The sequence below is a fragment of the Homo sapiens genome, chromosome 10 (genome assembly GCF_000001405.40).
Source record: "Homo sapiens chromosome 10, GRCh38.p14 Primary Assembly".
NCBI classification, from domain to species: domain Eukaryota; kingdom Metazoa; phylum Chordata; class Mammalia; order Primates; family Hominidae; genus Homo; species Homo sapiens.
This window is the reverse complement of record NC_000010.11, coordinates 89,728,563-89,743,682: the sequence shown is the minus strand read 5'-3', so window position 1 is coordinate 89,743,682 and position 15,120 is coordinate 89,728,563. Positions and strand designations below refer to the sequence as shown.

General features: G+C 35.2%; 1 protein-coding gene across 5 annotated transcripts in view, besides 1 other annotated feature; it reads right to left on the bottom strand.

The window, feature by feature from the left end:
- Positions 1-15,120, bottom strand: part of KIF20B (kinesin family member 20B) — a 73,345-nt gene that overhangs the window by 31,252 nt on the left and 26,973 nt on the right. For all 5 annotated transcript variants that reach the window (NR_168374.1, NR_168375.1, NM_001284259.2 and 2 more), the window contains 4 exons: positions 14,436-14,555; positions 10,627-10,780; positions 5,066-6,296; positions 4,587-4,725 (listed from right to left, as the gene is read on the bottom strand). Coding sequence is in view for 3 of the 5 variants with exons in the window: in NM_001284259.2 (NP_001271188.1) it covers positions 4,587-4,725; positions 5,066-6,296; positions 10,627-10,780; positions 14,436-14,555 (1,644 nt within the window). In the remaining 2 variants the exon portion in view is untranslated. The remainder of the gene's footprint in view (positions 1-4,586; positions 4,726-5,065; positions 6,297-10,626; positions 10,781-14,435; positions 14,556-15,120) is intronic.
- Positions 2,098-2,599: an enhancer, noted in NCBI's record as "NANOG hESC enhancer chr10:91500841-91501342 (GRCh37/hg19 assembly coordinates)". NCBI's record gives its function as "activates a minimal SCP1, AML or CMV promoter by ChIP-STARR-seq in naive H9 embryonic stem cells {active_cell/tissue: H9 hESC(naive)}" and the evidence as "EXISTENCE:reporter gene assay evidence [ECO:0000049][PMID:30033119]".

The following is a 15,120-nucleotide window of genomic DNA, read 5'->3' as shown; positions in this document are numbered from 1 at the left end:
GATTTTAATATACTACAAATCAAACACACTATAGCTTCAAATTATTAGAAAATGTTTTAATACTCTAATGAAGAATGCATATGAAAAACTCAATTTCTTGTTCCATTATTTAAGAATCTCAAACTTTTTAAGTTCTCTCAAAAAAGAATTATCATAACATCTATACATAATAGGGAAATAATTACCAAGGAAAAATCAATAAAGATATTCTGAGAGAAAAATACTGATTCAAATTTCCAAAGTTTATTGAGTAATATAATCCAGGAATACAAGAAAAACTTTAAAAGCTAATAATGACATGCAGGGAAGAAAATGGAACAATCACAAAATCAAAAGGTACCCACGCAAGTGAAGGTCAATTGATTTCTGCTGTTGCCGGTAATCTAATGCCATAAACGTAGGGAAATCGAGGTACTATGGACTAATATATATATTAATTTCTCACCCAAAAAAGCTAATATAGGTACATCCTTATACTAGTTTCCATCATACCAACCCCCTCTGAAACCTTTCAGTACATCTTGCCAGGATTTCCAGAGGGAAGTTATCTAACTGGCAGCAGAGCCTTCTCTTCTATTCCCTTGTGGAGCTTTACTGCCAAAACTCCATTTTCACACTCGCTAGAGAGCTCAAAAACGGAAGGAAATTAAATGAAAAGATGCCCCATAAAAAGCATAGAGAAGGCCGGGCATGGTGGCTCATGCCTGTAATACCAGCACTCTGGGAGGCGGAGGCAAGTGGATCACGAGGTCAGGAGATCGAGACCATCCTGGCTAACACAGTGAAACCCCATCTCTACTAAAAATACAAAAAACATTAGCCGGGCATGGTGGCACGTGCCTGTAGTCCCAGCTACTCGGGAGACTGAGGCAGAAGAATTGCTTGAACCCGGGAGGTGGAGGTTGCAGTGAGCCGAGATCACGCCACTGCACTCCAGCCTGGGCAACAGAGTGAGACTCCGCCCAAAAAAAAAAAAAAAAAAAGGCTTGAAGATGCCCTTATTATAGTAGCTCAGAGTGGTATGGTTTCAGAGGATTCTTACATTGTTTTAAGCTTTATGTTCCAATAATACATACATGATAATCACATATTCATAATATTTGCTAATTTTGTTTAAAAAAATGAGGCTTCAAGTAATAAACACCATCTTCATCAACTATATAACTAACAATAATAGAGGCTATGTGCTGCACAAAGATGCATGTAAGGACTGCCTCGGTTTCCATTCTGGCTCTAGCACTTACTACTGAGTGAACTTAGACAAGTCTTATTAAGACTAAGACAAGTGAACTTAGACAAGGACAAGTTCCCCCTTATCCACAGGGGATATGTTTCAAGATCGCCAGTGGATACCTGAAACATTGGATAGTATTTCAAGATCCCCAGTGGACAGTATTGAACCCAGACACCATCAATCGAAACACACTTCTGTTTGCATCCTCCACCCACAAATTTAATGCTTTTTCCATCTTAGCTAAGCAATTATCATGAATTGTGGCCATAACTTTTGCAGTGAGGTGCACCAGCAAAACTAACATAAATTTCTTTTTTCTTCTTCGCAATTTCACAGATGGAAGATTTGTTCTTACCATAGATCTTAGCAACCTCAGATTACAATTTTTTTTCTTTATTTATTAAGTTAAGAACTTTTACCTTTTCATTTAAAGGAAGCCCTTTACAACAACATTTTGGCTTATCTGAATTGCCAGCATCACTACTTTTGCATGTTGAGACCATTATTAAGTAAAATAAAAGTTACTTGAACACAAACACTGTCCCTGATACCATGACACGTGATCTGATAATTGAGATGACTAAGTGATTAATAGGTAGCACTAACAATGTGGATATGCTAGGCAAAGGGATAATTCTAACTCCAGGCAGGACAGGATGGCACAAGCTTTTGACCCACTACTCAGAATGACCTGCAATTGAACTGTTTATTCCTGGAATTTCTATTTAGTATTTTCAGCTCATGGTTGGCCACAGGTAACTGAAACCACAGAAAGCAAAACTGCCAGTAAAGGGAGACTACTGTATCCCTCAATGTCTGTTTTCTTATCAACAAAATGGAAGTTAAAAACAGTGTCTATACCCGATATTGTGTGAGGATTAAGATAATATGTCAACTCAGCATAGCAGCTGGCCTAGATTAAATTGCTATAATTATTATTATTTGCTTTAAAACTACACATTTGAGAAATAGAAAATACTTTTAATACCCATCATTAGAGTAATGTTAAATAGTCATCTATATGAGGAGGGAGCCTCAACCACCTGGCCACAGACAAATACTGATCCATAGCTTGTTAGGAACTGGGCCACACAGCAGGAGGTGAGCGGCAGACAAGGGAGTGAAGCTTCATCTGTATTTACAGCCACTCCCCATCACTCACATTACCGCCTGAGCTCCGCCTACTGTCAGATCAACAGAGGCATTAGATTCTCATAGGAGTGCAAACCCTATTGTGAACTCTGCATGCAATGAACCTAGGTTGTGCATTCCTTATGAGAATCTAATGCCTGCTGATCTGCCACTGTCTCCCATCACCCCCAGATGGGACCGTCTAGTTGTAGGAAAACAAGCTCAGGGCTCCCACTGATTCTACATTATGGTGAATTGTATAATTGCTTCATTATATATTACAATGTAATAATAATATAAAGTGCACAATAACTGTAATGTGTTTGAATCATCCTTAAAGCAGCCAGCCCCTACCCTGGTCCATGGAAAAATTGTCTTCCACAAAACCAATCACTGGTACCAAAAAGGCTGGGGACTGCTATCTATACTTGAAAAGAGATACCTCTATAAGTAGCAATAAAAAAGACTTTAACAATACAATAAATTTAAAAGGAGCTAGGGCATGGTGGCACACCTGTAGTCTCAGCTACTAGGGAGGCTGAGATGGGAGGATCACTTGAGCCCAGGAGTTCAAAGTTACAGTGAGCTATGATCACGCCACTGCACTCCAGATTGGGTGACAGAGTAAGACCCTGTCCCAAAACAAAATAAATAAACTTAGAAAAAAGAGCCCCCTTTTAATCACACCTGAATTTATGCTAATGAAATAGCTTTGAGTGGAGGCTCCTTTGAAATAGCTTAAGGGTAGGGCTACTCACCAAAAGACCAAAAATGATTAGAGTTGGAAATTTCAGTCCCACCCACCAAACTCTGTGGAAGAGAGGAGGGTTGGAGATTGAGTCATGAGAACTATTGTACAGTGAGGTTCAGAGAGTGTCCCACTTGGTGAGCACACTGAGGTCTTAGGAGGGTGGTACACCCAGAGAGGGCACAGAAGCTCTGCACCACCCTCTGTCCCCCTTAATCTGTCCTGTGTATCCCTTCTATTTGTCTGTTCTTGAGTTGTATCCTTTATAATAAACCAGTAAATTTTTTTTAAATAAGTAAAAATAAAAACTACATACTTTAAAAAAAAAAAAAAAAAGACAGCACAATTAAAATGAACAAATGACTTCAACAGAGCAGAAACTGGGATAGACAAATAGAAATAAAAATATGAATAGAAGCTGTACTTCATTAGCAATCAAAAGAATGCAAATTAAAACTACCATGAGATAACACTTCATATCCTCTAACACAGTAATTCCCCACTTGGTATATAAACTTTTGCATATGTGTACCAAGAGCATATAGAAGATATTTGCATTATGGCTATGGGCAAAAAATAATAAACAATCTAAATGGTCATCAACAAGAGACTAAATAAATTGCGCTAAGTCACACAACAGAATACTATACAGAGGTGAAAATGATTAATTACGACTGTACAAAATCAATCTCAGAAATATGATGTGAAAAATAAAAGTTTGAGAAGAAAATACTGTTTAGAGATTAAAAAATATGGTTAAATTATATTTTTTAAAGTTTAGATAAACACAACATTCAGTAGTCACTTTTATAGTGGTAGAAACAGCATTTGTTGTATTAATATTTGTCAGACCTTACACATTTAAGTATTATTTGGTAACTACCTCAAAGTTTAAAAAAAAAAAAAAAAGTGCTCCAATCTTTAGAGAAGGTCTAAGTACGACAGAAAATGAAGTGGTCATACAAGAAAATGGGAAGGAGGGAGAAGTGCAGAAAAAGAAAGAAATTGGTAACATTTGATGCTGTGAAGGTAAACTTGACAGCTCGAAGGAGTGGGAAGTATTTCCTTCTCATTGTATACATCTATTATATTTCAAATTTGGAATAATGTGATTGCATTCCCTTTTAAAAATTAAGTTATAATAAAAACTAAAAAATCATACTGCACATTCTCCTAAGTACTATCTGTAAACAAGTTGCTTTCCACTTTTTTGTAAGGACTTACATTTAGCAATTCTTAAAGAAGAAAAAGACTAATCTTTCATAAGGTACATATTTCTCTTAATGTTGGACATTCTTCAGCTTGTTTAAATCAGCTAAATTTTCTCTCGTGAAGTAACTGTTCTTGTAATTTTAAGAAAAATTATAAAGTGGATAAATGTTCTATTCAATCCTAAGATTAATGTCTAAGTTTGATATATAAGGAAAACAATCTTTATCATAAACTGGCCACATAACTTTTCAAATAACCTACCTCTTTCTGTACTTGCTTAATCTGCTTTTTGGCATCAGTCAGTTTCTCTTTCAGGTCAGCATAATCTTCTTCCTTCCTCTGAAGATCTGCTTTCAGATTCTGGGTACGAGCAGAGCTTGCAGAGAGTTCCTCTTTCAATCTAAAAAACATAAACCACTTTTCTATGGTAATGCATCATTAACTGCTTAGGACCATACATGTGAAATGGTAACAATCTTTACAAAATTATATCTTTTCACAAATTTGGAATATCCAAACTATGAATGAGTTCTTCAGAAAATATTTCATATGATTTTTATAAGCTGATCTTTTCACATAACCTATGGTCCAAAGGTTTATATGGACAAAGTTCAAGTTCTTCACTCATCATACATGCTACGCTTTACCAGATTAAGTATGACTATCTAACTTTTTTAAAGCTGCATAGCAAAATGAATGCTTTGTGTATTTTAAAATATTTTGAATAACATTTAGCTTACTTTTCTGTTTCTTGCCTGTTGGTTTCTTCTTCTTCTTCTTTTAATTGAAGTAAATGTTTCATATCTTGCAAATTATTTGTTAACTGTGTGATTTCTTCTTTCAGCTTGAGTTCCTTTACATTTAAATCTTTGGTGTTTTTGACAGAATCCTGAAGATGTTCTTGAAATTCCTTCAAATTTCTTTCTAGCTTTAAGATGATAGATTCCTTTTCCAAAATGTCTTGTTCTAACTTGGCTGAATGACTACATTCAACTTTCTGAGTCTCTAAAATTGTTTCAAGTTCCTTTATTTTTGCCTTATAGCAAGTAACACCTTGTGTAAGTTCTGAAAGCGCTCTCTTTCCTTCAACTACATGCTGTATTTGAACATCAAGAGTAACATTTTTTTCTTGCAATTCTTCTTTCAGCTGCTGTATAAGAGTTTCTTTTTCTTTTAGTAGGTCATCTTGGTTTTTATGCTCCTTCTCCTTTAGTCTATTGTTTTCATCCTTATAGCCTTTTACTTCTGCCTGCAATTTTTCAATTTGTTGTTCCAGTTCCTCAATCTGATGACTTTTTTTGGAAGAGGCCTTCACAATCTCTTTACATTCTTCCCAAATAGCTTCAATACTAGAGTGGAAAGAATTTTCCCTATTGGGTTCTTGAATTCGATATTCTTTAACTTGCTTACTTACCAAATAATCATTACCTAAAAGGTCTAACTGTGTATTTGGCAAATTATCCTCCTCAGAACCATTTGACAGATCCCTGAGATTGAGCAAATCTATGTTTGAAATCTGAGAAACTGAATCAAGAGTACGTAGTTCGTCTATTTTCGTGTGCATTAATTTTATTTGTGAAACATTATTTGTAATGCTTCTTGTAGCAGTTTCTATCTCATTTGACAATTTCATGATCTTTTCCTCCTGTTCTTGATTTTTACTTTTCTGCACATGTAATTCAGCAATTGCAATATCATAATTTGACTGAATTTGTTGGACCTCTTTACTTAAAGTTAAATTCTTTTTTTCAGAAAGAGAAAGTTCCTGCTGAAAATGAACAATCTGTTTATTTAATTCTGCTTTTTCTTCCTTTTCATTTTTAAGTTCATTCTCAATAGTGAGTAAAAATGCTCTCAGTCCTTCATTATTTTCTTGTAAAACTCTGATGTCTTCAATTTCTGCAATGTTCGGTCGCACTTCTTCACTTTTCTTTTGGTCTTCAGTGATAGCTGAACTAACATGGATAGACCCTTTAAAAATAAGAAAATTGTTATTAATCTGGCAAACCTTAATAAAACCAAAAAGTCACCATATAAGCCAATATTCAAACATACAAAACATGTAAAAGTAAACTTCTAATTAAAAAAAAAAAATGAAATAAGCTGTTGAGAAAAAAAGAAAAAACAGGTTTTAAAACATGTGGTATGAGCCCATTTATGTAAAAATTATTATTTCACAAGGTAATACAAAGTTAGCAAAGGAAGTACACCAAAATGATGGCAGCTACCTACCTCTGAGTAGCATTACCAGCTATTTCTAACTTTCAGTATTATTTAAATTTTGTACCACAAATCTTTATTGTCATTTCAATATGGGACAGAGAGGAGGAGATGACGAGAAACCCTAGGCAGACATTCCATATCCTAACGAACAGTTTTAAGCTACAATTATATTGTGGCTTTTACTATATTAGCAATAGGCAAATGGAGTATCTTAAATTTTCATAGCTAAAATTAGAAGGGACATGTTAAAACTTTGGGAATTCATATAATATAGCCTTACTAGCTGTAACCATTAATAAACTGCTTCATACTACGACTGTTTCCTCAAATGTGATATAGGAATAATACCACCTATCTCAAAGTTGTGAAGATCAAGATGACAAATGGGTTGACGACACTGTGCATTGGATAGATTTAACTATTAATAGAACCTGAAAATCTGTACAGAAGGATTCAACTAATTGAAAATGCATAAAAGTTTGCCTTTTTCAGGCTTAATATGTATATTGCTAGAATAAAGATACCCTTACCTGCCCAACTTACTCTACAGAATAATGCTAAGAGACTAAAATGAGTTAATACGTAATGTAAGTTAAATGACTACATAAATGTTGTATACATGTAAGAACTTTAGCCATTATAATCAGTACAGATCAAATTATACCCAGAACAGATACACTATTAGCTACAATTTAATTCATAAGTTCACTCTGACAAATAAACTCACCCCACGTAAGTGCCCAGTATAAATTATATTCTTTTAAACTTTCCTCATAGATTCCATGATTAAATCTTGAAATATAATTAACAATCTTCTAGATATATAAATTTATATCTACATATCTTTTTATATTTCATACAATTTCCATTAAGGGTCAGATGAGTGTCTCAGATCCTCGAAACCTTACTTCAAAACAGGCCAGAATCTGACTCTTCGTTTTTAGAAATTTTTTCCTGTTTTGTTATACTTCATGGTTTGATGTTTATATGATGTTTGCAAGTAGACTTTACAACATTGTTCTGGTACAATTTTTATGTGAATTTTCTACACGACTTTGCTCTAATACAATCAATTCCATATGTTCTTCTGACCGCCATTCACTCCCTCACTGACCATTTCTGTTTAATTAACCTGTATTTTTATGTGATATCCTCACTATGTAAGAATCAAATTCTTCTTGTTTAATGATCCCAGATATAATATGAAGTACAAGGGTTACTAATCTATAAGAGCAGAAGACAATTATAATGTAGGTTTGGCTTGAAATCCTTCTAGTTAAGAAACCTACTACTTTCTGGCCGGGCACGGTGGCTCACGCCTGTAATCCCAGCACTTTGGGAGGCAGAGGCGGGTGGATCACGAGGTCAGGAGATCGAGACCATCCTGGCCAACATGGTGAAACCCTGTCTCTACTAAAAACACAAAAAAATTAGATGGGTGTGGTGGTGGGCGCCTGTAATCCCAGCTAGTCGGGAGGCTGAGCCAGGAGAATGGCTTGAACCCAGGAGACGGAGGTTACAGTGAGCCAAGATCATGCCACTGCACTCCAGCCTGGTGACAGAGGAAGACTCTGTCTCAAAAAAAAAAAAAAAAAAAAAGACACTTACTACTTTCCATTGGTATCTAATTGACTCTAAAAAGTATATGGTACATTTTTCTTTTTAATGAGTCCCGAATATTATCCTATGCATCTCAGCTCTTTATATTTTATTGAAATATGTTTGTCTCTCTCATCTACTAGATTTTAAGCTCCTTGATGGCAGACTCCCTATATCTCACTCATCACGAACAATAAACCTAAATAGAATAATAATCCTAAATGTAATATTTTTGAAACTTAACTATACCACATATGTTCTTCTTTTCTATCTCTAAGACATATCATGGTATAGAAAACAAATAATCTTTGTGATTTTTGCAATAATAATTTATTCTGCTTCTAGATATATGTAAATTCATGAATCTGACATATTCCAGTTACATTAATTTTGTTACTTTATGGTAACTTTATGTTTAAAATTTTAATGTTCTCTCTTTAACACTGAAAAACATTTATTTACACAAGAGTGATTTTCTAGTTTTATTGGGAGGAATTATCCAGGGACCTTATTAAAATGCAGATTCCTGGCACCAAATACCAAAGATAGTGATTTGGTAAGTCTGGGATGTATTTTACATGCAACGTTTTGAGAATTAGTGTTCTGGGGTATTATTTTTGAAAATTTCTAGAAGTTGACAGTGACTTCTGTAATACCTTTGGGATCTTAACATATCAGTTTGTTACATTACAAAGCCCTTAACTGACAGCACTGCTGCATGTAATTGTTCCTTAAGAGCCAAACGTCAAACCTCTTGTAGTTATGAAATTCAAACCCATTAAGTTTTAGCCTGCCTCTCACAGGCTCTTGTGCATCCTAGTTGTGAGATGATAGCCCATGGGATGCACATGTAATGAATCTGTTCGATGAAGAAGGCAGCACTTTTGAGATCATTACAAAGCTCATTAAATTGAAATCTGCCATGCCATATACAAATGAGTTTCTATACTCATTTCCATATATACTAATCACAGTTGAAGTTATGAGCAAAATAAAGGAAAAGCCAAAGCATTTATGAAAGGTCCCTCAGGTACTACCATAATGTGGAGAAGAAAAAACTTATGTGATTGTTTGTTCTCAAGGTTTTTTAATACTATGACCCCCCACCACCACTTTCATTTTTTTAGACACAGTTTCACTCTTGTTGCCCTGGCTGGAGTGCAATGGCGCAATCTTGGCTCACTGCAGTCTTTGCCTCCCAGATTCAAGTAATTCTCCTGCCTCAGCTTCCCAAGTAGCTGGGATTACAGGCATGCACCACCACACCAGGCTAATTTTTTGTAATTTTAGTAGAGATGGGGTTTCATCACGTTGGTCAGGCTGGTCTCAAACTCCTGACCTCAGGGAATCCACCCACCTCGGCCTCCCAAAGTGCTAGGATTACAGGCATGAGCCACCACGCCCGGCCTATGACCCCTTTTGATAAATTAAAATCCCCTAGCTCTCTCAAGATACTGATTTCCCCCAGTGAGAATATGCCCCCACCCAAGAATCACTATATAATATGGGAATCTTACCTCCCTGTCCCATCTAGAATTTATCTAGTTTTGCCTTCGATACTGTATATACAAAAAACAACCTGTATTTGTTAAGTCTTCATTTCTCAAATGCAATGCATGTTCTTTTTTGTTTCACTCAATTGTCTAAATGTTCTTGGGAAGCTGTAATTGTGCAATTTCATTACAGGATTCCAAGATCTCTTTTCTTCAATACAGACTAATTTTAAAAGCTCAGTGGACAAGGTTTTATTATGTATAATTTACACTGTCCAGCCTCAAAGAGGAAGGGGTAAAATAAGGCATTATGCCTGCTGTATTTTCTTAAAAGCTGCTGAGTTTCTTTTTGAAGCGTTTCTTATGTTTGCAATTTACATTTTCCTATTTATTTCCTCAAGATTTTCAGTTTATTCTAAAGAGTCTACCTCCTCTAAAATTCAAAGGTTTGCCCTTCTTTATATTTACAACAAACTTGCCCAGTTACTATTAAAGATTTTTTAAAAAATAATCTTCAACATGTATTATCTTTCATCAGACTGTCTCCTGGTATCACAAATACAGCTTGAATACATTTATTATTAATAATATTTAGCTCAAAGTCTTACTGTAAAATATCCTTTTCTCCAAATGAATAAAGAATGCAAACAAAGAAAACAAAATAATGTGCTGGGATTTAGGCAGAAAATACTATATTTATAAAATCAAAGTAATGAGTTTTAACTATTATAAGCACAGAAATTATTACATAGACTGCGAAAGAAATAATAAAAGCACAATTTCTAAAAGCATATTTATTAAGATAAAAGCTTTAACTATGCCCATCCCTAGAAAATGTATAACTTTCCAGAATAAAAATTCAAGACGTTTAGATTTTCTCAAGATTTTTCCTTAGACAAGTGAATGCCCCTCTGTTTGCCTTGTTCTATTTACTGGTTTAGAAATTAGCTTTCTTAAACGCCTGCTGCTGGCAGCTGAAGTAGTACCTTTCTTTGCTGGTGGTTCATCTTGCTGAAGTTCATTTTCATTTACTCTTTTTCTTTCTGAACAGATTTTAGATTTGCTGTCCTTAGGTACTTCAACTGTTTCATTACAAATCAATTTATTGTTTATTATTAAAGAAGATGTATCAGCCTTGTCCTAAAGCAAAATAAGTTAAAAATAATTCACATATAGAAAGCTACAAAAAATGTACAAATCACATAAATTACTTTCAATGGTGTACCATAAAAATTTTATTTTCAAATTTGTTGAGACATTTTCTAAGTTATTTCTTAAGTTTCGTCCTAAAATAACTGATGGCTCTAGCAAATAAGTAACATTTGGGGATAACTGGAGAATCTTAAGAAGATAAATCTCTGAAGTCACATCAGAAATGTGCTTTGAAAAGAAAAATATGAACTCAACTATTTATTTTGTTTTGTAGCCAAAGCCTCTTAAAGATTAGTATTGTCTTAAACATTAACAACTCCTAGAAAAATAGTTTTGCCCTTAGCTTTAAGTCGATATATATTCAAAGATATACAGCCTACAGACAGCTTTGAAACTGAGCTTCTAGATACGTCATTTAGACTTTTTTTTTTTTTAAGGCAGACTGCCTCCCTTGAAAAGGCTAGTAGCAACCAAGCACAGGGGCTCCTGCCTGTAATCCCAGCACTTTGGGAGGCTGAGGCCGGAGGATTACTCAAGCCCAGGAGTTTGAGACCAGCCTGGGCCACACAGTGAGAACCCGTCTCTACAAAAAATTAAAATTCCAGGTGTTGTGGTCCATGCCTGCAGTCCCAGCTACTCGGAAGGCTAAGGCAATGGGATCTCTTGAGCCCAGCAGTTCAAGGCTGCAGTGAGCCATGGTCACATCACTGCACTTCAGCCTGGGCAACAGAGTGATGAGACCCTACCTCTAAAAAGAAAGAAAGTGGGGGAGCTGAGAGAGGGGGGGAACTTCCAAAAAAAGGGTATAATATGGATTTAGAAGAAGGGTAAAACTCAGCATTTAAGCGCAAGTCTATAGAGTAATCAAATGTATGGTGAAGGCAGAAACTTGTAGCAATCAATTTGAAAAAACAAAGTGTATGATAGAGTGCCGCTTAATCAGCAAACATTGTATTAGCAGGAAATACAGATAAAAATAACCTTTTAAAGTCATAAAGTAATGGGTTATTTAAGAAAAAAGGCAAAGTTTTTCTAGTATCTCTAAACAAAGGATGTCATAAAGAACAATCTCCACGCTTTCTCACAATTAGTCCCTTAGTGTCACTGATAAATGACAAAATCATGGGACAGGCAGATCACACCTCTGACACAGCTCCATAACAAGTCCAAGTTGTTCCTTCCCCGATCCTTGGTACCTATCAGAATGATCCCGTCATTTTTCCCCGCTTCAAAATATACAATCCTCACCAAAAATCTATCCTTCAGAAGTTATAGTTATTGAAAGGAGGGTTTTCTGCTCCCAGGGTATGCTTGGGTAGAAAAAGCAAAGAATTCAAACTAAATTTTTTCATTATTGGAAAGAGTTTGCGCTCAAGACAAGATGTGGAACAGTGACCCTAGATCAACTGTTAATCAGGACAATTAGGTAAGTTCCAAACTACTTTGTATATTTGTATGTATTTAAGTGAACAATTTAAATTTAGCACACTGTATTAAGTTAGTTGATAAAACAAGATCTAGAATCTATAAAGTTTATTTACAAGCAAGGACTAACTAATTTACAAATATTGATTTTTTTACTATCACTTCCTTAAATATTGCTAATATATTATGGTATGCAAACACACTACAGCAATAAATATAATCCCATGTGAAATTTCCAACTATTTTCTTTGAAGTTGTAGTCACCAGAAATGACCTGTCTCTGACTTTCCTTTTTGTTTTTATTTACCAAATCAAAGAACAGACTTAAAATCCAGATCAAGAGATGAGAGCAAAAAGCATGTGATGACTAACCAAATAAAAGTTTCGAGAGCCAGGAGGCCCAGCAATTAATTTACTGCCCCAAGTCTCAAAATTTTAACATCCCCTTACTTCACAAATCAATTTCCTCTTCCTTAATCTCTACTACTACTACCGTAAATCGAAGTCCTCATCAACTATTAGCTGAACTCTTCCAAGAGGTAGCTATCTGGTCTCTCTGCCTGTAGTCTAATTCCATCTCAATCCTATCTTCCAAGTTTCCAAAAATATCTACTCAAATGAAAAACTCCTCTTTGCTATTCCTCTGGTGAAAATGACTCCCCCACTGACTCCCCAAACTCTTTAATGCAGTATTCAAGGTCTTTCATCTTATCCTATTCTACTACTCCTAGCCTCATTTCTCACCTCTCCTTGCTTCAAACTTTCTTCCTAAACAACAAATTGTTTGTATTTTCCTGCACTCACTGAAAGATTTCTCATTTCCATGACTTTGTGCACTCTGATTCTGGTACATGGAAGGCCAATGTACCTTCTTGTCTCTCCTGACTACCACTGTCCCCTTCCTCTACCTTCAAAAGGCTAAATTTTACTCACCCTTTAAGGCTCAACTTAATCATTTTCATCTCCACAAAGTATTCCTAACTCCCCACCCACTCACAGCTTCACACATTGACTACGACTGCACATTGTATTATAACTATATTTATGTTGTTTTTTTCTTATTGGGGGATTGTTAGGGTAGTAGATTTTATTAATCTGTATAATTCCAATAATCTAGCATAGTACCTGGCACACGTTGGACACTCCACAAGTGTTTCTTGCTCCTCCACCTTATTAAATACTAATTATTACTAAATAGTTTATTATTAACATATTAAATATTAGGATATTTCTCCCAGTTCAGGTACAGAAAAACCAGAGAATGAATCATGTATCTAATAAATACCAAAAGAAAGGCCTACTATAGGAGATTAGACAGAGTGCTCTTCTAGAATGCTCCTCATTTACCCCTGTGGTATCAAATGCCCATCTAAAGTTCAGATGAATCAGGGAATGTTGGTGGGTATTAGAGTTTGACTATCAAGATACAAAGGAAACTCAACAGTCACTTTTTATAAGATACCACGCCTGCTTCTTTTGGTCATAGAAAAGACATAAAAAAGCACCTTTCAACAAAGCAAGATGTTTGGCTCTAAGTTTACTCAGCTTACTACATTATTACCATATATTTTACCATTTCTAAATAAAAGAATAATTTGAAGGAGCTTACCCCAAAAAAAGAAAACCAAAAGCCATTTTAAAAGACATGGATTAAAAGACAAGCTGATCATTCTAAGCTGAACTGAATATGAAATTATCTAAATTTGTATGAAAGACAACCCTTTAAGTCTTTACATGTCACAGTGTATAACTTTTTAGAAAAAATATCCTTGCTATTAAGCATATAAACAATAGCAACAATACATATAATAAAAACAAGCTTCTAAGGAAAAACCTAATTTTACTGAATTTCATGTTATAGTTCCCTGAAACATTATAATCTGGTTTTCTAAGTACACCTAAATTCCTTTCTCCTCAAAGCTCCCCTTCCAACTAGCTGAGGCTTAAACGTCCAAAGGCTACATATTCTCCTCCTTTTTACATGCAAAGCACTGCCAGCGTATCTTGTGGAAAAGTATGTTCAAAGAAGTCAAACACCCTCGTCTAAGTTCTCAAAAATTCAGATTTGGAAAACAGTAAATTGAGTTCAATGTTGCATAAGCAATTCAACATTCTCAATAAATTAGTCTTAGTTGCATAAGCTATTTTAAATTATTTCCTTTCAACCAAAACATATGCTTATCTAATTTATTAATATAACACAAGGTTAAATTCTTACATTGCATTTAAATGTGTTTTCCATATGAGACTTTAGGTTCTGAAATTCGTTGATAGTATCTTCTTTTTGATCAATTATATTTATCAATTCTTTAATTCTTTGATTCTGTGTAATTATTTTCTTTGGAAAGAAGAAAAAGCAATGTTTCATGAATATACTTTAGGATAACTAGAATGCAAATATGATTAATAATGCAAACAGTTTTATAATTCCTTCAAATTTTAAAGTTAAATAAAGCTAATCAGTGGCAACACACTATGCACAGCATGATCTTATTTTTGCCTTTAAAAAAATTACATACACACACACACACACACACACACACACACACACACACACACAAAGAAAAAAGAAGCTATATAGCATATAAGAGGAATTTGGAGCCAGACTGCCTGGGCTCAAATCCTAGCTGCTATCCCTTTTAATATGTCACCCTGGGCCAGGCACAGTGGCTCATGCCTGTAATCCCAGCACTTTGGGAGGCCAAATTACCTGGTGGGGAGATTACCTGAAGTCAGGAGTTTGAGACCAGCCTGGCCAACATCGTGAAAGCCCGTCTCCACTGAAAAATACAAAAATCAGCCGGGGGTGGTGGCCACCTGTAACCCTAACTACTTGGGAGGCTGAGGCAGGAGAATCACTTGAACCCAGGAAACGTAGGCTGCAGTGAGCCATGCCACTGCAC